Source organism: Homo sapiens, chromosome 10, assembly GCF_000001405.40.
Source record: "Homo sapiens chromosome 10, GRCh38.p14 Primary Assembly".
In the NCBI taxonomy this organism is placed as follows: domain Eukaryota; kingdom Metazoa; phylum Chordata; class Mammalia; order Primates; family Hominidae; genus Homo; species Homo sapiens.
This window is the reverse complement of record NC_000010.11, coordinates 21890969-21913442: the sequence shown is the minus strand read 5'-3', so window position 1 is coordinate 21913442 and position 22474 is coordinate 21890969. Positions and strand designations below refer to the sequence as shown.

General features: G+C 37.5%; 1 protein-coding gene across 4 annotated transcripts in view, besides 1 other annotated feature; it reads left to right on the top strand.

Moving 5' to 3' along the window:
• The window catches only part of DNAJC1 (DnaJ heat shock protein family (Hsp40) member C1), a 247183-nt gene that overhangs the window by 90288 nt on the left and 134421 nt on the right, over nucleotides 1-22474 (top strand). For all 4 annotated transcript variants that reach the window (NM_022365.4, XM_011519614.4, XM_047425628.1 and 1 more), the window contains exon 7: nucleotides 8831-8921. In NM_022365.4, coding sequence (NP_071760.2) covers nucleotides 8831-8921 — 91 coding nt within the window. The remainder of the gene's footprint in view (nucleotides 1-8830; nucleotides 8922-22474) is intronic.
• Nucleotides 18598-18767: an enhancer, noted in NCBI's record as "active region_3123". NCBI's record gives its function as "activates an Ori minimal core promoter by ATAC-STARR-seq in GM12878 lymphoblastoid cells {active_cell/tissue: GM12878}" and the evidence as "EXISTENCE:reporter gene assay evidence [ECO:0000049][PMID:35858748]".

The window sequence follows — 22474 nt, the reverse complement described above, 5'->3', positions numbered from 1 at the left end:
TCATAAAATCAGGAAGTGCCACATATCCCAAGTGATTACCAGTCTAAATCATAGACACAGTTCTCTGCATTTTCTGAGATCAAACAGGTCTTCAGCAGTCAGAACTTAATTTGCTTGAGAATTTGTTTGATTTTTCTAGGAATTCACCATTCAAGTTTCTCTCTGACTCATATATTACATTTCTCGGTAGCATAATTTATAAAATATAAAACTCATTTGGTTGTGCATTGCCTAAAGTTGTAAATTTTTTACCTTTTTAAGTTCCAGTCCCATCTTTTCTCATTACTAACAGATCTAACAAGAACACCAGTCAAATAAAAATTGTCATAGGAAGTTTCCAGCATGCATATCCCCACCCCCATCAGGATGTATAGGTTGCCTAGGAGTAGTGGCTGAGAAAATAGAGGAATCTTCTCTGTACAGCTCTGGCTTTTACCTAAAAAAAAAAAAAAAAAGTTGCCTAAGAGTAAAGGGAGTACTATACTTTATACAACTGTCTATAAATGGAAGCATCCTCCCTCCCAAGAAGCTGCTTCTCCCATGGAGACTACAACTGTGGACAAGCCTGGAGGTCACCCTCCCTGACAATTAGGGCCCTTCCTTTCTAGCCCCTTCGCTTCTGCTTGCTAGGACTCTGTCAGAAACCAAACAAACAGAACATTCACAGCTAATTAGCAGGAAAAAAAGCTTCTAAAAGGCTATGAGGCATTTGTTTCAAGCTGAGTCGCCTGCCCTTCTACTTAGAGTTAAACAGATTTTCCAAGGGATGAGGCAGCTTGCTTTTAATACTCTAAAACTTTTTAAAACTTTTCAGACACACACACATACAGAAACCTGACACAGGAAATACATAAACAAATGAAAATAGATGGAGAAGTTCATCTGAATTTTTATAAGCTGAAACTACTGCTACAGGACAAAGGGATACAGGCAAACTGGAATGACCTTACAACATAAGACAGAGATTCCTTACTTCCACCCTCTGAAAGTAAATCCTTGCATCTTATGCAAGTACTCAGAGATCCAAAGACAGACTATAGAGTTTTGTAAGTTATTGCTAGATGTAGAAAAGATAAAAAGCCACAAAATGTTAGGTAGGATGTTAGCAACATATAGTCTCATCAATTCCATATTTTATAGATGAAAATACTTAAGACTCAAATTGGTGAAACAATTTCCCCAAAGTGACACAACTAGTTAATGGTAGAAATGAAACTGAAAGCAGATGAAAATAAATATTAAAATATAAGAAAAAAATACATAAGAAAAATAAAAACTAAAAAAGAATAAATTTCGCCCCAGGTCGATAACTAGAACTTTATAGTATAAGCTGTGTAATCTTAAACTCCCTGTCAGAATGTTCAGGCTGATTATAATTACACATTTTCCTCAACTTATCGATTGCATCCTGATAAGCCCATCATAAGGAGAAAATACCCTAAGTTGCAAATACATTAAATATACCTAACCTCCGGAAACTCATAGCTTAGCCTAGCCTACCTTAAACACGCTCAGAACACTTACGTTTAGCCCACAGTTGGGTAAAATAATCTAATACAAAGCCTATTTTATTTTTAAAAAGCGCTGAATATCCCATGTAATTTACTGAATACTGTACTGAAAGAAAAAACAAACAGAATGATTATATAGACCCTGGAAGTATGGTTTCTACTGAATGCATATCACTATCTCACCATCATAAAATGGAAAAGTTGTTCTGTTAAACCATCATTAAGTTGGGGACATCTGTAGGACATAAGTTGTAGGATTCTTACATTGAGTTAGGGCTGAATAAATGGCTTCTACAGTCTCTTCTATCTCTTGGAACAAATGGAAAAAATAGTTTTTAGGCTGTGCATCTCCTTGAATATTACAGTCTCAGACCAGAGGAAGACAGTAGCTTCTGGTTTTCTGTTTTATTTTTATTACTTTTTGTGGATTTAGTCTTATTATAGTTCTGTACAGAAATTTTGACTCTTATCAAAATGTACAATTTTACAGTTTTTCTATATTTTTCATTGTAATTTTATTGCATATTATATGTAATTCTGAGATTATAGTATAAGTCAATGGGAGAACAAAACAATATAGAGCATTTGATTTTGTGGGCAGATTTTCAGAAATGTACTTATGGTATTTTCCTACATTGAAGGTTATTTCTAAGCCTCAAACGAAAGAGAAGATTTGGGCTATCAAACAATGAAAAAGAAATAGAACATCCTCTATATTGTTTCTAGGTATCCTTCCTCATAGCTCTTCCACGTTCCTTATTCCCATCAGGACAGGTGGTATTTCCCTCCCCCTACCACTGTAAATCAATGCCTGCCCCGCCTGCCCGCCTTCCCGCCTTCCCGCCTTCCTTCCTTCCTTCCTTCCTTCCTTCCTTCCTTCCTTCCTTCCTTTCTCTCTCTTTCTTTCTCTTTTTCTCTTTCTCTTTCTTTCTCCCTCTCTCCCTCTTTCTCTCTTCCCCCCCTCTTTCTTTCTCTCTCTCTTCTTTGTCTCTTTCTCTCTCTCCATCTCTCTCTTTCTTTCTTCCTTTTCTTTCCTTCCTTTCCTTCCTCCTCTCCTCTCCTCTCCTCTCCTCTCCTCTCCTCTCCTCTCCTCTCCTCTCCTTCCTTTCTTTCCTTTCTTTTCTTGTTCTGGGCTACATGTGCAGAATTTACAGGTTTGTTACATAGGGAAACGTGTGCCATGGTGGTTTGCTTAATACCCATCACCTAGGTATTAAGCCCCATATGCATTATTAGCTATTTATCCTGAAGCTCACCCTCTTCCCACCCCACCACAGGCCCTGATGTGTGTTATTCCCCTTCTTGTGTCCACGTATTCTCATTTTTCAGCTCCCACTTATGAGTGAGAACATGCAGTGTTTGGTTTTCTGTTAGTTTAATGCCCTTGTTTCTTAAGCTTTTCTTTGGATTGCTTAATATGTTGATGTTTATATGGAGAGATAAAAGTGAACCAAAACATTATAAACAGTGCCACCTTAGCATGTTCTCTTATCACTTAATGAACTATGTCAAGAATGTTAAAGGGTGTCCGGGTGCGGTGGCTCACACCAGCACTTTGGGAGGCCAAGGTGGGCGGATCACCAGAGATCAAGAGTTCGAGACCAGCCTGGACAACATTGTGAAACGCCGTCTTACTAAAAATATAAATATTAGCCGAGTGTGGTGGCAGGCACCTGTAGTCCCAGCTATTTGGGAGACTGAGGCAGGAGAATCGCTTGAACCCAGAAGGTGGAGGTTGCAGTGAGCCGAGATCTTGCCTCTCCACTCCAGCCTGGGTGACAGAGCAAGACTCCATCTGAAAAAGAAAAAAAAAAAAGGTTTAATGTAAGGATATTCCCTATCTCACAGCTTACTAATCTTGGAAATATTGTATCTTCAGGCTTAACTAAATTATCATCATTATGAAGCCTTCCTTCATCAGGCCAACTGAAAAATTCTCATTGTATGTTCTCCATACTAACTTTACAGCATTTACTATTTGTATTAATCACGGTAGACTGATAGACCTTAGTCTGTTTCTGGCATATGCCTCATGTCTGTCACTGGTTGATAGGAAAGTGGGCATTCTGGTCTACCTAACCATTCAGGAGCTCAGAGCAATGATGTGTTCACCACCTTCTTAGCTGTATCCATCTGGAACATGTGGCCTCCTTGCTCATTATGACAAGAGGAGAGAGCTGGAGGATTTGCATGAGTTTTTCTGTGAGTTGGTTTGGAAATGACACATGATATTTCCATCCACAGCCCATCCAGAACTAGTCTTCTGACCCCACCTAATCTTAAGAGGACAGCGGAATATAGGGAAACAGAATGTTGAGTGAGCACCACTTTCTTTGCCAGTAATTCATTCAACAAACTTTATTTATTGATTGCATTATTTACTTTGTGCCGGGGCAGGGGTAGGGGGTGAAAGACAACAATTCCTGTTCTCACAGAGCTTATATTCTATATTCCATATTTTAGTTAATATTTATAGTTATTTTTACATATTCCTTAAGGGAAACTGTTGTATCTTATATAATCACCACATATCCTAATAATGTACAATACATATAATAATGGTTCAATAAATAAGCATAAATATCCCTGTTTAATGTCTTCTTGTGCAGGAGCCTATGCTCTATAATTACGTACAAAGAACACTCATACATTATTTAAGTTAGCCATAGTTTAAATGTAAAACCTGTCCCCTGTTTGATGTCTATGAAGGCAGGTTTTGAGCTCTTCAGGAAATCTTAAATATTGGCCAGGGGCGGTGGCTTACGCCTGTAATCCCAGCACTTTGGGAGGCCGAAGCAGGCAGATCACCTGAGGCCAGGAGTTCAAGACCAGCCTGGCCAACATGGCAAAACCCCGTCTCTACTAAAAAATACAAAAATTAGCCAGACGTGGTGGTGGGCACCTGTTATCCCAGCTACTTGGGAGGCTGAGGCAGGGATAATTGCTTAAACCCGGGAGGCGGAGGTTGCAGTGAGCTGAGATCATGTCACTGCACTCCAGCCTGGGCGACACAGCGAGACTCTGTCTTGGGGAAAAAAAAAAAGAAAGAAATTTTAAGTACTAATACAGTTGCTTCTAGAATAAAAACTTTTGCTCATGGTTCCATTCATAAGGATTATAAACTCCTTGAGAATAGGAGTTCTTTCTGTTTGGAAAAATGTAAACTCCATAATTTTAATACAGTATTATGAGGCAGGCAGTTCAGAGCCCTAATCAATTGAAGTAAGCATTTAATTATTCATTAAATATTTATTAAGCTTCTGTAAGTGCCAGGCAGTGTACTAGGGCTATAAGGATGGATTAGAAGTTTATATCCCCAGGAAATCTAACTTTCTGTGTAGGTAAACTGGAGTTTACTCTGGACCCAAATAAGTTTTTGTGCTTATTTTTCCCATTAAACGATTTTATTATAATTTTATTCACTTGAATTCACCCCCCCCCCATGAAAAATGGGAGGGAAAAAAGGTTGAAAACAATTTATCTTATTCATCCTCTTTTGAATGCTTGGATTCAAAAGCATACCTTACAGAATAGCCATACCTTAGAACATACCTTAAAGAATAGCCACGTGGTTTCTTCTTGAATACTATCTCCAAAATCAGCCGATTTCATTTTCAGGTAATTTTAATTATTAGGAAATTCTTATATATATATATATATAAAATATATATATATATTTTCTCTATATTATATATATTTTATATATATTATATATAATATATATTTTATATATATAATATATATTTTTATATATTATATATTATATATTTTTATATATTATATATTATATATTTTTATATATTATATATTATATATATATTTTATATATTATATATATTTTATATATAATATATATTTATGTATATTATATTATATATATTTATATATTATATTATATTATATATTTATATATATTATTATATATAATATATTTCATATATATTTCATATATTTCAGACAGAGTCTCACTCTGTGGCCCATGCTGGAGTTCAGTGGTGTGATCTTGGCTCACTGCAACCTCCACCTCCCAGGTTCAAGCAATTCTCTTGCCTCAGCCTCCTGAGTAGCGGGGATTACAGGTGCCTGCCACCACACCTGGCTAATTTTTTGTATTTTTAGTACACATGGGGCTTCACCATGTTGGCCAGGCTAGTCTTGAACTCCTGCCCTCAAGTGATCCGCCCACCTGGGCTTCCCGAAGTGCTAGGATTGCAGGTGTGAGCCACCACACCTGGCTTCTTCCTCATATTGATCCAAAGTCAAAACTTTCATCTCTGGAATCATATGCAGTAGTTTACAACATTCTTGCCTGTAATAAACCTTGAGATATTGTATGGTAGTTATGAAGTTATCCCCAGTCTTCTTATCTCTAATCCCTTATAAAAATAGAGTTTCAAGCTGCCTCCCTATTTAATCACTTTCCTTTTAAAGTCTTTCTATTTGTCAGTGCATCTTAAAGTGTGATACCCCAAACTATACACAGGGATGGTTGAAACAATGTAGAGTTGTTTAGTAAAGTAGAATTGCTTGAGTTCATAGATTGTTAAGGAAGTAATGTTTCCTGGAGTGGGCATATTGTAATTTGATTTCAAAGCATAGGTAAGATATGAAAAAAAAAAAACATGAGGAATGTTTAAATAAATGCTTAGAAATGGAGCAAAAGGAAGATAAAAATAGTGACTGAAACTAGGGAATGTAATGAAAGTCTCAGATTAAGTAGAGTAGGTTAGGGTGATTGGGTGGATTGCAGTCCTCAGATAAGTGAGGATTTGGATTAAATGTGTATTTCAAAGAGGAAGTTTTAGTGGGATTATGTCCCATAGCAGGAAGAAGAAACATTAACAGGGAAAATGTTCAAATTTGGCAGGACTACTAGGGAGAGGTTGCTATTATACAGCAAAATGAAGTGAGAAGGATGCAATTAAAAAGGTCACATAAGCAAGAAGATACAGGATTTGGCAGGGGAATTTTGGTGAAGTATGAAGCACAAAACTCATCCTTTGTGTTGGAAAACAAGATCCTTGTCAAATTGGTAGAAGTAATAATAAAAATAGCTAACATACATATAAGGCCTAACTGTGTAGAAGATATCATTCTAACTGTTTCCCAGGTATTAACACATTTAATCTTCATAACAGTCCTATAAGTTAGGTACTTTTGTTATCCCCATTTTATGAATGAGAAAATGGACCCACAGAGAAGTAAAATAATTTTCTGAATGTCACATAGCTAGTAAGATGGCAGAGCTGAGTTCTTAATTCAGATAGTCTGGCTCCAAATCTGTCCTCTTAATCACCATATTTCACTGTGCTATACTGTGATGATTGATTTCAGCCTACTTTCTTTTACCTCTCATAAATAACTAATCTGTGCCCTTCTTTTCTTGCATGTGCCACATTTCCTACTCCCCTCAAGGAGCCAATGCCTTCCTGACCTTTTCTTCTTCCCTACTATTAAAACCTACTCTGTGGAAAGAAGCTAATAAGCTCATTCATTCATTCACACCAAGGTATAAATGACTCATATGGCTTAATATAAAATAATACTTCTTTAGGGTTGACTTTTTTTAAGGGGGGTGGGGAATGTTAAGGGCTATAAAACCTTAACCCAAAACCCTGTTGAAACTTAAACTATATATGGGCATGGGAGGATGAGTAAGTTGGTTGCATGGCCATCTGTGCTCTTCTAGTAGTACCATTGTTTACCTGGCCTAGGGCTTGTGTGAATCCTCATAGAAATGAGGTAGGAACATAAAAGTGGGGATGAAAAGAATTAAGAGATCTTTTACTATATTAACAATACATCTGTATTGTATTGATTCAATGATTTTAGGAATACCAAATTCTTATTAGGTGGAAGAGTTCTGATAGAACCCCAAGAGACACAGACCCCCAGGAAAAAGCTTTAATTTGGACACAGTCGTAGACGAAAAGAGTTTCTAGGGTTTAAGTATTTATGTATTTACATCTGAGTCAAAGTAGTGTCAAAGATTTTGTTCCTTTATTTCTTGCAGAAATAAAGCTCTCTCAGATGGGTCTATGATTTATCTGCTCTAGGAATCTTATGGTCTGAGAATGTTACCCTAGAGTTATTCTTGAAACCCTTCTTTTTCTTATTTCACCTTAGTTAGTCATCAGGCCCCTTCATTTCTTGCTTTATTAGGTTTCTCACATATTTCAGTCTAGTTCAATTCGGTAAATACTTATTGAGTACCTGCTTTATGGCAGATACTGTGCTCTGGGCATGTAAGTATCCCTTTCTCAATTTCTCATCTGGAAGAGAATATAACATGATACAAGCAGTTATAGACATGTTTAAATATAGAAGTAGTGTACAAGGGAGAATTACACTGCCAGAGAAGGTCAGAAAAACTTGCAAAGGAGATGGGGCTTGAATGGGTTTTCAGGGATTAATAAGAGTTCATCAGAATAATGCCAGGGAAGTACAATATTGTAGCCAGAGGGCAAAGCAATTGCACAGACATGGAAGCACAGTGTGGGCTGGCAGCTGTTAATACAAGTGGTATTCCTATAGACTATCTGAGGTTTGAGCCAAGGAGTGTGGTAAAAGATCTGTTTTGCTTATTTTCATTGTCGGGATCTCATATGCCTAGAGCATCAGCTTGTTTATTTTTATGTATGTCATTATTTAAGACCTAGGTTTTTTTTTTTTTTGGTACACCACTAAAGCCTTACCTGTGTGCCACTCATTGAGACTTCAGTCACTGTATCTTGACACCTAAGTATATGTATGCAGTATGTGTCCTCAGTCCTCAATCCTCAAGACTTCATGGTAATGGTTTTTATACTCGTCTCTAAGGGTGGTAAAAGGAGGAGTGGCACCTTTCACTTTTATATACATGCTCGTATAAGTTTTATAATCAGATTTGAAGATAATTTTGAATATCTATTGTAGTTAAAGGGCTAATATGAAAATAGCAGTAGTACTTTGTTAGTCACAGTAATATAATTTACTGTGCCAAATCAGTTCAGCAAATGAGTTTTTCTGCTCTCTGTATATGCAACAGTATATTATGAAAATAGCATACAATGGAAGAAAACAGGAAGAGGATACCTCCTTTCCATATCTGAGAGAAAAAATAGTTTAAAATTATACTCATAAAATTTCTCATTGTAACTGGCTCTCCAGGAGAGAAAAATCATAGAGAAATGTTTAATTTCTGCTCATCATAAAATTTGAAAACAAAAAGAAAGCCTACTTATAAAATGAATATAATGCTTTAAAGTTAAGTTACATGGAAAATATTATTGAAGCACACTGATTTTTATGTTAATTTATGTATAACTTTTTTTCTTAAGGATGCTGGGCAGTTTTATGCTAAATATAAAGAAACAAGATTGAAGGAAAAGGAAGATGCACTGACTAGAACTGAACTTGAAACACTTCAAAGTGAGTTTTAAACATTAGTGTTTTAACAATGTCATATAAAATTAATTATTTAAATGTGAATTATCTTTTAAATTCAGCAGTAATTAAATTTTCTGGTTTTCTTTTTTTTTTTTTCCCACTCCCTAGTGGAGTCACTTGTACTTAATGTATTTGACATGGAACATCCTACATTATAGCATTACTTTACCACCCAAAGTTTGATATCAGAAGGAAGGATAAAATCAGCTTGAGTCATGTAACTCCTCAAATCTAGGGGCATCCAAAGTCTGCAAAGCCCTAAAATACTTCAGTACTATAATTACAGTTGATATTTAGTGCTAGTTTAACCAGTTAATCACCCAACTTTCTGTGTAACAGTTGTAGTTAGGAAACCTGAAAATACCAATGATTTTTGTTTTGAAAGTTTTTGTTTAATTTGCAATATTGTTATATAGTATGAACAACTTTGTATAAATTATCAGTATGTTGAAAAGAAATCTTCCATTGAACACAAAGACAGTTCTTGCTGATTTTAGGAAAAGTTGAACATATTATGTAAAAAGGTATTTTCTCAGCCGCAGTCCTTTTGTCTATTTTTGCCTTATCTACATCTTGGCTCCCACACATATATACTGTGTCTCTTTGCATTTCTTTATTTTTATTCCAAGCACTTAATACTACTTTAATTTATATATTAGTTTTGTTTACCATCTGATTTCCAACCCCCCACCCCCAGTAGAATGTAAGCTCCATGAGGGTAAGGACTTTATCTGTTTTGTTCACTGTTGTGTCCCAGGTTGTAGGGATTTGGGTGTGGTCATTTTAGGGGGTCATTTTTCAGTCTATCACAATCCTTCAGGTGTCTGGACAGCTTTAGAACAGAGACTGTTCATCTCTGTGTCTGTAGCATCAAACAGGGTCCTGGCACATAATAAATGTTCAGTAAATGGATAGATGTATGAATTCATGTAATGCCATGAATATTAATGAGCATCCACTGAGCACCTAGCCATGTAAAACACCATCTCAAGAAGCACATAATTTAATTCAAAAAGCTTCAATACTTACAAATACAAAATAATATTCAGATCAACTATATAATTGTTTAAAGTAGACTTCTGTTAAGAAGGAGTAAGAATGATAGAGGATTATTACATGCCAAGGTTGACATATGTGTTAAAAAGTAGGAGTGTGCAAATGAAACTCTTGTCATTTTTATATAATTGTTATTTTAGGAAAAATTGGTAGATTACAATTTCTAAGCCTTTTCAGACTAATCACAAGGAGAAGAAAAATTACATTTATAAGAAAAGAGAAGAATATCGGCCAGGCGCAGTGGCTTACGCCTGTAATCCCAGCTCTTTTGGAGGCCGAGGCGGGCGGATCACCTGAGGTCAGGAGACCAGCCTAGCCAACATAAAAACCCCGTCTCTACTAAAAATACAAAAATTAGCCAGGCATAGTGGCGGACACCTGTAATCCCATCTACTTGGGAGCTGAGGCAGGAGAATCACTTGAACCTGGGAGGTGGAGGTTGCAGTGAGCCAAGATCACGCCATGGCACTCCAGCCTGGGTGACAAGAGTGAAACTCTGTCTCAAAAAAAAGAAAAAAGAAAAATATAAAATTAGTCCAAAATTTACCTGTAGAGGCAACGTGAATACACTACATTTGATTGCTCTCATGGACACAGCTTATCATTTCTATGTAATTTTTTGTTAAAAAAAATATTATAATTTTGGTAGATGTGTTAGAATTATTTAGTAGTAACAAGACTAAGTATATACACTACCCCTTTTGAAATTAGGTTAAACATGAAGTGTTTATCACTATACAAAAGCTCCTTTCGGAGTTAACTATTTTTCCAAAATTGTCCAATGACTTTTGTTCTGCTTAAGAGTTTGATGTAATTCTCAAACAGATTTAATAGTCTCCTCTTGGCCGGGCACAGTGGCTCACACCTGTAATCCCAGCATTTTGGGAGGCCAAGACAGGCGGATCACCAGAGGTCAGGAGTTCGAGACCCACCTGGACAACATGGTGAAACCCCATCTCTATTAAAAATACAAAAATTAGCTGGGCATGGTGGTGTGCGCCTATAATCCCCACTATTCGGGAGGCTGAGGCAGGAGAATCGCCTGAACCCGGGAGGCAGACATTGCAGTGAGTCGAGATCGTGCCTGGGTGACAGAGCAAGACTCCGTCTCAAAAAAAAAGTCTCTTTTAATTTTGTCATTGTCTGATTATGTAAAAATCACAAACTAAAAAACATATAAATATCTGAAAGTGAAAATGTGTAACAGTCTTGTAAAACATTTGAAAATTCATCACTAGCTTATCAGTTATTGAAACTCAGAATGGAATAATACCAGAAAGCATATTAAAAACATTCCTCATACTATGCTGTGAATAATAAGATTGTTATCTTGCATGCTTCTTTTATCAGTGGTATATTTAGAAAAGGTGATGGTATCAACATTAAGAATGTTAAAGAACAGTCACATTTACTGTTAACAATGTCAGACTGTCATGTATTTTTTAATATAGTCTCTAATGGTTACATGCAAATAATATTTTAATTAATTTTATTAACTTCATTACAGTATTCTGCATTGTATACTTTAGAATTAATACATAAAGGCCCCAAATCCCCCAATGTGCATTTCATTTGCCCCATCCTTCTTAATTTTAAAGACCATCATCAGAATATCAAGTTCATAATAACATTTCCATCTACTTAATTGAGTAAATGCATCTCATGTAGATTAGCAATAGCTGTTTTATGCTGCCTGTTTTTCATGACCTAATTGCTAATCTGCCCTCATCTGCTTTACTGCTTAGATTGTACAGTATTCTCTGAGGGCTGCACCAGAACTACTTTGAGTAGGGTGTGATAGTCTTATTAAAATGGCATTTTAGATATGGGGGGCAGTGAAAAGGGTGATTTCTTAAAAATAAATATCCTTCTGAGAAGTCTTTCTGTAAAAAAATTGTTGATATATATTTGGGAAATTTGGGGCACTTTTTATTATAAACTTTTAATCAATTTTGTGGTTTAGGTTTAAATAAGTTGAATACTTATAAATATTAGACTTTTGAGGGTTAATGATTTTTTACACATTCTCTAATGATATGTTTTATTCTAAATTAATAAAAGAGAATTCTATGTACTAAAACAGCCCATATCGCATGAGAAAAAGACATGTTTGACTTACTTTATAAAGAAATTATAAAGGTCACAATTTGAATAGACAAGGAAAGGAAAGGATAGAAGTAAACTCGATTATTTCCTTGACCCCTTTCTTTGTACCTTCTATGATTTTAAAACAAAACCAGAATTAAATAATCAAAACTCTACTGCCAAGTACTTCATTTAAATATGGAGAAATAGTTCCCAACATTAGTTATGTTTTTCTTCTTGTTTTGTGGTCCTTGTTGCATGCCCCAGAAAGGGACTGAAGTAAGGGTGCCTCAGGGACACACCCTGTAGGATGAAGCACTTAGCGAGAAAGTGGGGGGACAGAATGTGACTTTTCAGTGTGGCAGGATGAGAAAATTTAGTCACCTTCCTTAAGACTAAAGGAAGAGTGATTTTCTAGAAAACTCAGGTTCATGAGGAAAGTAGTTGATTCAGGGGTTGGTAGGGAAGAAGGAAAAATAGATTGAGAAAGAGCAGCCGCAGTTTAGGTTAGAACACTTTGCCTGTGGTAACATAGGGTGCTCACGGATGGGAATATACTCTCTGAGATAACTTATGCGGAGGCATGTAACTGATCACTAGCTCCAGCATATCTGAAAACATGACCTAATAGAATCTCTGTACCTTATGCCATTTCATATTATAAAACCTAAAATCTAATAGGAGCCCTTGTTCCAAAACAGTTTATATGTAGGCAGATAATATCTAAAGAATATAGTATTTTATCCTAGGTACTTTTACCTAGGGTACAGTATAATATCCTAGGATATTTGAATACCAATGGAAGTGTGAAATTTTAAAATCATACAACTCAAATATAAATTTACAATTCCCTTAATATTTCAAATCATAATGCTGTGTATGTACAAATATAATGCAGTCTTAGTTTCCCCATGGCAATGATTCAGAAAATTTTTATCCAATTGAATATATAAGTGTTTATGGCTATAGATTAATTAGTCAAATTTCTTTATCTTTTTTTTTCTTTTGCTTTTTTTTTTTGAGATGGAGTCTCACTCTGCCACCCAGGCTCAAGTGCAGTGGCGCAATGTTGGCTCACTGCAACCTCCGCCTCCCAGGTTCAAGTGATTCTTCTGTCTCAGCCTCCCGAGTAGCTAGGATTACGGGTGTGCACCACCATGACCGGCTAATTTTTGTATTTTTAATAGAAACGGGGTTTCACCATGTTGTCCAGACTGGTCTCGAACTCCTGACCTCAGGTGATCCACCTGTCTCGGCCTCTCAAAGTGTTGGGATTACAGGTGTGAGCTGCTGCACCCAGCCTATTGAAGAAAATTTCTGAAAGTAAATTTTGTGTAGCCTAAGTGTACTGTGTTTACAAAGTCTACCATGTTACACAGTAATGTCCGAGGTCTTCACATTCACTCACCAATCACTCACTGACACCCACAGCAACTTCCAGTCCTGGAAAGTTTCCAGCTCTGATCTCTTTCTGAGACAAAGCTCCTAGGCAGAGGGGTGGCCTCTGCGGTTCAGCAGACTCAGCTTTGAGTTCCAGCCTGCCAGTTTTGGAGAATCCAAACAGTCTGGACTAGGAAGGGTCCCCCCGCAATGCAGGATACCTATTCTACCAAAAGGCAGCCGGACTGCTTGTTCAAGTAGGTCCCTGATCCCATTCCCGTCCTCAACAGATCAGAGCTCTGTTCGTAGAACTCTGGCTGGAGTGGCTGAAGCCCCCACAGGGAGGTCCAGCCCAGTGAGGAAGAATGAATTGGGGTCCCGCTTAAAGAAGCAGTCTTGCAAGTCTTGGCAAGGCAGCTGTGCTGCATTGTTGGGGGATCCTTTCTCATTTGGACTGTCTGTATACTCCAAAGCCAGCAGGTTGGAATGGCCAAGTCTGCTGAATTGCAGAGATGGCACCTGCCCCTTGCCCCAGGTCCTGTCTCAGGTAGACTCCAGCCTGTTGCTGTTGGCCAGCTGTAATTCCGAGCCCCAGTGGGTCTTAACTCGTGAGGTGCCATAGAAGTGGGGCCTGCAGAATGATGCTGCTTGTCTCCCTGGATTCAGCCCCCTTCCTAGGGATATGTACAGATGAATTGCCTGCCTTGCCAGGGATCCCAGGGCTGGAGTATGTAAAACTCTCAGCCTCTGTGTGTGCCTCAGTGGCTGCTCTGCCAAGACTCCACATAGCTCTGTGTATTGTACCCAAGGACTTCGTGGCATAGGCTCTTGAGGGGATCTCCTGATTGATGGATTGCATAGATATGTGAGAGAAGTGTGGTTTCCCAGGTGTGGTTGCAGTCACTCACTGCTTCCCTTGGCTGGGGTTGGGGGTTCCTTTAGCTTCATGCCACTCTCTGGGGGGCCATCACCCCACCCCGCTTTTCTTCATTTTCCATGGGTCAAGTAGTTTTCCTAGTCAGTCCCAATGTGAGAACCGGGATATTTCAGTTGAAGGTGCTGAATTCACTCACCCCTTTTGTTCCTCTCTCTGAGCGTTGTAGACTGCCGCTGCTTCTAATCAGCCATCTTCTTTTTTTTTTTTTTAGTAAGTAGAAGGAATACTCTCTAAAGTAATGTTAGGAAGTATAGTATATTCTGGCCTGGCCAACATGGCAAAACCTCGTCATGTACTAAATATACATGTACTAAAAAATACAAAAATTATCTGGCTGTGGTGGCACATGTCTATAATGCCTGCTACTTGGGAGGCTGAGGCACAAGAATTGCTTGAACCCAGGAGGTGGAGGTTGCAGTGAGCCAAGATCGCGCCATTGCACTCCAGCCTGGGCAACAAGAGCAAGACTCTGTCTGGAAAAAAAAAAAAAAAAAGTATAGTATAGTAAATACATAACCTAATAACATGCTTATTTATTATAATCAAGTGTTATATACTGTGCACAATTGAATGTGCTATACTTTTATATAACTGGCAGTGCAGTGGGTTTATACCAGCATCACTACGACACATGAGTAATGCATTGCGCCATGACTTTACAGTGGCTCCATTATAATCTTATGGGCCACCATCATATATGTGGACCATTGTTGACTAAAATATCATAATGTGGTACATGATTATATTTCAGTTTGGAGAGGATTGATATATTTACCATTGAGTATTCCAAATCTATGAATATAGTATGTTTCTTCATTAATTATTTATATCTTCATTGATTTATTTCTTCAGTCTTTTGTAGTTGTTAGCAAATTAAATCCTGTGTGTGTTTTGTTAGGTTTATACCTGCTTCTCTTTATTTTGAGTGGTTATAAATGGTGTTGGATTTTAATTTCAGTTTCCGCATGTTCACTGTGTGTAAGAAATTCAATTGATTTTTGAATGCAGATATTTGTTTTGCTAACTTGCTGAATTTACTTATTAGTGCTAAGATTTTTTAATGTAGATTCCTTGGATTTTCTGTGTAGACAGTTATGTCATCTGACCGTGGGGACAGATTTACTTCTTCCTTTACAATCTATGCATTTTATTTCCTTTTCCTGCCTTATAGTACTAGCTAGAATTTTGGTACTATGTACAACAAAGTGTGGTGGGAGTGGGCATCCTTGCCTTATTCCAAACCTTAAGGGGAAAGCATTTAGTATTACACCGTTAAGTATGATGTAAGCTGTAGGTGTTTTGTAGATGCTTTACATCAGTGGTCCCCAACCTTTTTGTCACCAGGGAACGATTTCGTGGAAGACAGTTTTTCCATGCACCTGGTGGCAGTGGGGGATGGTTTTGTAATGAAACTGTAGTTAGATTCTTATAAAGATTGTGCAACTTAGATCCTTGAGAATCTAATGCCACTGCTGATCTGACAGGAAGCAGGGCGCAGGCAGTAATGCTTGTCCTCCTGCCGCTCACCTCCTGCTAGGCGGTCTGGTTCCTAAGTCCATGGCCCAGGGTGTTGAGGACCCCTGCTGTACATGAAGTTAATAAAGTTTCCCTCTATTCCTAGTTTTCTGAGCATTTTTTAAAATCATGACGGGGTGTTGAATTTTGTGAAGTGTTTTTTTTCCTCTATCAATAATTGTGATTATGTGATATTTCATTTTTGGTGTATTAATACGATATATTACATTATTGGACTTTGAATATTGAACCAGCTATGCATACTTGGAGTAAACACCACGAGGACATGGTATATAATTCTTATTGCTGAATTCTATTTGCTACTATTTTGTTAAAGAATTTTACATCTATATTCATGAGAGATACTGGTCTGTAATTGTCAGTGTCCATTTGTGCTGTAACAAAATACCTGGGAAATAACCTGAGACTGGCTAATTTATAATGAACAGAAATTTAATTCTCTTCTTGATGCTGGGGAGTCCAAGATCAGGGCATCAGTACGTTTGGTGTCTGGCAAAGGTTTCTGTCTGCTTCCAAGATGGCACCTTGTTGCACATCCTCCGGAGGGCACAAACACATGTCCTCACAAGGAACAGAAGGGGAAAAGGGGTTGAATGCTGTGTGAAGTCTCTTTTGTAAGAGTCTTAATTTTTTCAAGAGGGAAGAGCCCTCATGACCTCATCACCTCCCAGTGGCCTTTTCCTCTTAATACTATTGCATTGGAGGTTGCTTCCACATAAATTTTGGAAGGACTCAAACATTGAAACCATAGCATTTCACTTCTGAACCCCCCCCTTCCAAAATTTATATCCTTCTCACATACAAAACATATTAATTAAATACCAATAGCCCCCAAAGCCGTAACTCATTCCAGCATCAACTTTAAAGTTTAAGGTCTATAGTCTTATCTAAATATAATCTAAATCAGATATGGGTGAGACTCAAGGTGTACAATTCATTCTGAGGCCAATTCCCCTCTACCTGTGAACCTGTGAAATCAAACAGTTTCTATGCTTCCACATTATAATGATGGGACCGGCATAAAATTGATATTCTCATGCAAAGAGGGAGAAATAGGAAAGAATAAAGGGGTAACAGTCCCCAAGTAAGCTGAAAACCCAATATGGCAAGCACCATTAATTTTTGAGGCCTGAGAATAATCAACTTTGACTTCGTGTTTCATCTTCCAGACACAGGAGAGTAGAGGTTGGGTCCCCAAGGCTCTGGGCAACCCCAGCACTATAATTTTGTTGGTCACAGCCCACAGAGCAGCTATCACAGGCTGGAGTCTCATGCCTGCAAGCTCTCCCAGGCTGAAGTTGCATGCTGGTGGCTCTGCAGTTCTGAGGTCTTAGTGGTGGCCCCACTTCTATTGCTCCACTGGGCATTTCCCTAGTTGGGGCTGTCTCTAGCAGCCCCACCTTTGTGGCATTTCCTTGCCTGGGCCCCAAGGCTCTATGAGGCATCTGTTGAAATCTAGGTAGACATGTCTCCACAACTCACGTACTCTGTGCACCTGCAGAGTTAGCACCACATGGATGCCACCAAGGTTTACTGCTTGTGCCCCCTGAAGTGGTGGCCTGAAGTGGTGGCCTGCATGAGCTGTACCTGAGGTGACTGAGGAACATTGTGTCTGAATGTGTGGGAAAGAAACAAGACATCCTGAGCAACAAGCCCCATGGTTTCACAAGTGTTTTGGGCCCCTTTTTTGAAACTGTTCTGCCCTCAAGGACCTGGTGCTCTGAGCCTGCTATGAGAAGGGCAGCACAGATAATCTCCAAAATGCCTTTGCGGTCATTCTTCCATTGTCTTGATGAATAGCATCTGTCTTCCTTCTATTCATATTAAATCTCCTTATCAAATGTTTGCTTGGCGACACCCTTGGCATTCTCCCTCAAGCATACTTTAAAACCTGACCAGGCTGAGAATTTTTTAAATCTTTAACTTCTGCTTTCCTTTTAATTACAAATTTTATATTTAATTTGTTTCTCTCTTCTTGCATTTTACTATAAGTAGTCAAGAGAAGCCATGAAGCACCCTGAACAATTTACTTAGAGATGTCATCCACAAAATAACCTAGCCCATTGCTCTTAAGTTCTGCCTTCCACAAAGTAATAGGACACAAAACACAATTCAGCCAAGTTCATTGCTACTTTGCAGCAAGGGTGGCCCTTCTTCCAGTTTCCAATAAACTGCTCCTCATTTCCAACTAACGCCTTATCAGAATGGCCTTTACTGTCCATATTTCTACGAGCATTCTGATCACAACCACTTAGATCATCTCTAAGATGACTGAGGGTTTCTCTACAGCTCTCCTCTTCTGCAGAGCTCTCACTGGAAACATGCTTAATGCTTTAGCATGCACTTCAAAGCTATTCTGGCTTCTACCCATTACCCAATTTCAAAGCCACTTCTACATTTTCAGGTATTTGTTATAGTAGCACCATCGGTTCTCACTACTACTTTCTATTTTAGTTTATTTTGTGCTGCTATACAAAATAACTGAGACTGGGTAATTTATGATCAACAGAAATTTATTTCTCACACTTGTGGAGTCTGAGAAGTCCAAGATCAAGATACCAGCAAGTTTAGTATCTGATGAGGCCCTGGTCTCTGTTTCCAAGATGGCACCTTGTTGCTGCATCCTCTAGGGGAGATGAATGCTGTGTGCTCACATGGCAGAAGAGATAGAAGAAAGGGGACAGCATGCTGTGTGAAGCCTCTTTTGTAAGGGCTTTAATCCTGTTTATGAGGGAGGAGCCCTCATGACATAATCACTTTCCAAAGGCTCCACCTCTGTGCAGACTGTTTCTACATGAATTTTGGAGGGGACACAAACGTTCATAGCATTAGCTTTCTCTTTTTGCATTATCTTTGTGTTACCTTGGTATTGGTAATGCCAGCTTCATATAATGAAATAGGAAGCTTTCTCTCCTCTTCTGTTTTCTTTTTCTTTTGAAAAACAGAGTTTTGCTCTTGTTGCCCAGGCTGGAGTGCAATCGTGCAATCTTGGCTCACTGCAATCTACACCTCCCAGGTTCAAGTGATTCTCTTGCCTTAGCCTCCCAAGTAGGTGGGATTACAGGTGCCTGCCACCATACCTGGCTAATTTTTGTATTTTTAGTAGAGATGAGGTTTCACCGTGTTGGCCAGGCTGGTCTCGAACTCGTGACCTGAAGTGATCTACTTGCCTTGGCCTCCCTAAGTGTTGGGATTACAGACGTGAGCCGTCGTGCCCAGCCTTCCTCTTCTATTTTCTGAAAGAGAATGTCTAACACTGGTATTAATTCTTGAAATGTTTGGCAGAATTCTGTGGGGAGATCATCTGAGCCTGAATATTTCTTTCTTTGGAGTATTAAAATAACAAATTAAATTGGATTTATAGTTATAGAGCTATTTAAATATCTATTTCATGTTTCATTTATCTGTTTCATGAGTGAATTGAGATAGTTTGTGTTTTTTGAGCAATTGGTCTTTTTCATCTAAGTTGTCAAATACATGTATCTAGAGTTGTTCCTAATATTTGTTTTTTATCCTTTTGATGTCTACATGCCCTGTAGTGATTTCTCCTTTTTAATATAGGTAACTTTTGTCTTCTGTTTCCTTTGTCAGATTCGCCAGTTGTTGATCTTTTCAAAGGATCAGTTCTTTGTTTAATTGATTTTCTCTATGGTTTTTGTTTTCAATTTCATTGATTTCTGCTCTTATTTTTATTACTTCCTTCCTTCTGCTTGCTTTTGGATTGTTTTGGTCTTCTTTTTATAATTTCTTGACATGGAAGTTTAGATTATTAATTTGAGGCTTTTTTTCTTTTCTAATGTCAGCATTTAATGCTATACATTTCCCTCTCAGCACTGCTTTGGCTATGTCTCATATATTTTGATTTTATTTATTATTATTTTTTTTAACTGAGTCTCACTCTGTGGCCCAGGCTGAAGTGCAGTGGTGTGATCTCGGCTCACTGCAACCTCCGCCCCCTGGGTTCAAGCAATTCTCTCACCTCAGCCTCCTGAGTAGCTGGGATTACAGCACTTGCCACCATGCCCGGCTAATTTTTTTGTTTTTAGTAGAGATAAGGTTTTACCATGTTGGCCCAGGCTGGTCTTGAACTCCTGACCTCAAGTGATCCACCCACCTTGGCCTTCCAAAGTGCTCGAATTACAGCTGTGAGCCACTGCACTTGGCCACATATTTTGATATATTTTTATTTGACTCAGCTCAGTATTTTTTTCTTGAGATTTCCTCTTTGATCCATTGATTATTTAAAAGTATATTGCTTCGTTTCCAAATGTTCAGAGACGTTTTTGTTATATTTCTATTAAACATTAATAGTTTAATTCCCTTTTCATTAGGAAGCATACTCTGTATGAGTTAAATTCCTTTAAGTTTGTTCAGGTCTGTTTTATGGCCCAAGATATGATCCATCTTGGCATATATTCCATGGACATTTGAAAAGAATGTGTATTCTGCTGTGGTGAATTGGAGTGTTCTATAAATGTCAGTTACATCCGGTTGGCTGATGGCATTGTTGAGTTGTATATCATTGCTTATTTATATATTTAGTTATGCTATTAATTATTGAGAGGGGGTATTGGACTTTTTGACTGTAATTATAAATTTGTCTCCAGTTCCGTCAGTTTTTGTTTCACATGTTTTGCAGCTCTGTTGTTTGGTGCACACACATTTAGGATTGCTATGCCATCTTGGTGGATCTTTTTATCATTATATAATGTCTCTCTTCATTCCTGGTAATTTGTTTTTGCTTTATAGTCTACTTTACCTTACCTGATATTAATATAACTACTGCTGCTTTCTTTTGATTAATGTTTGTATGGTATATCTTTCCAATCCTTTTACTTTCAGTCTACCCATATTGTTATATTTGAAATGAGTTTGTTATAGATAGCATATATATATATATGTAAAAAAGATGAAAAACCATGTGTTTATATGTTTGTGTGTGTGTATTAAATGGTTTGTATATTTAAACTGTTTATATTTAATATAGTGATTGATATGTTAGGGCTTAAGTTTGCCATTTTATTTTTTATTTTCTATTATTTCTCTCTATCATTTCTCTTTTTTCTCTATTACAGATAGAATTTCTCTGTTATAAATAGCATATATATGTAAAAAAGATGAAAGACCGTGTGTGTGTGTGTGTGTGTGTGTGTTAAATAGACAATTTGTGTATTTAAACCATTTACATTTAATATAGTGATTGATATGTTAGGGCTTAAGTCTGCTATTGTATTTTTTATTTCCTATTTTTTCTCTCTTATTATCATTTCTTTGTTTTCTTCTTTCTGCCTCCCTGTGGCTCAACATTTTTTAGAATGCCACTTGAATTTATTTTTAATGTTTTTTTAAATATATTTCTTTGTATCACTTTTTAGTGAGTATAATAAGTATGTTATATATACATAACATCACAGTCTACTGGTGTCAGATTTTTGCTATTTCAAGTGACATATAAAAACCTTACCTCCCCTTAAATCCCTTTACCTTCTTTATTTATAGTATCATTGTCTTGAGTATTTTCTTTATAACACTGAAGGTTATAATTTTGATTTAGTGGTCAGACATAATTAGAAAACTCAAGAGCAGGAGGAAAGTCTATTGCGTTTACTCATATTTTTACTCTTTTGTCCTTTCTTCTTTCCTTGTTGTCCAATATATTTTCTTTTATGATTTATTTTCTGTTTATAGAGCTTCTTTTAGCCATTATTGCAGGATAGGTCCACTGGTGACGAATTATTTTAGTTTTCCTTCATCTCAGGATGTCTTGGTTTCCCCTTCATGCCGGTAAGATATTGTCACAGGATATTGACTTCAGGTATAACAGTTACTTTCTTTCAGCATTTGAAAAGTGCTGTGCCACTTCCTTCTGGCCTCTATGGTTTGGGGTGAGAAATACACTGTCATTTGAATTGTACTTCTACTACAGATAAGGTCTTGTTTCTCTGTTGCTGCTTTTAAGTTGCTGTTCAGAGTCCCAAAACTTCCCAGGGCGGTGTTCTTTTTTTTTTCTTTTCTTTTTTTTTTTTTTTTTTTGTCTACTTTGTTTTTCAGATTGGGCACTTTATGTTTTTCTATCCTCAGATTCACTGATTCTTTTCCCTGTTTGCTTCATTCTGCTGTTGAGCCCATCCAATAAGTTTTTAACTTCAGTTAGTGTACACATCAATTCTGACATTTCCATTTGGTTCTTCTATATGTCTTCTATTTTTTTGCTGAAACTTTTTATTTGTTTCAAGAGTGTTCATTATTGCTTGTCATATCATTATGACATGGCTGCTTTGATAACACAGTCAAGTAATTTTTTATTTATTTATTTTTTTGAGATGGAGTCTCACTCTGTTGCCCAGGCTGGAATGCAATGGTACCGTCTTGGCTCACTGCAACCTCCGCCTCCTGGGTTCAAGCGATTCTCCTGCCTCAGCCTCCTGAGTAGCTGGGATTACAGGCATGCACTACCACAGCTGGCTAATTTTGTATTTTTAGTAGAGACAGGGTTTCATCATGTTGACCAGGCTGGACTCGAACTCCTGACCTCAGGTGA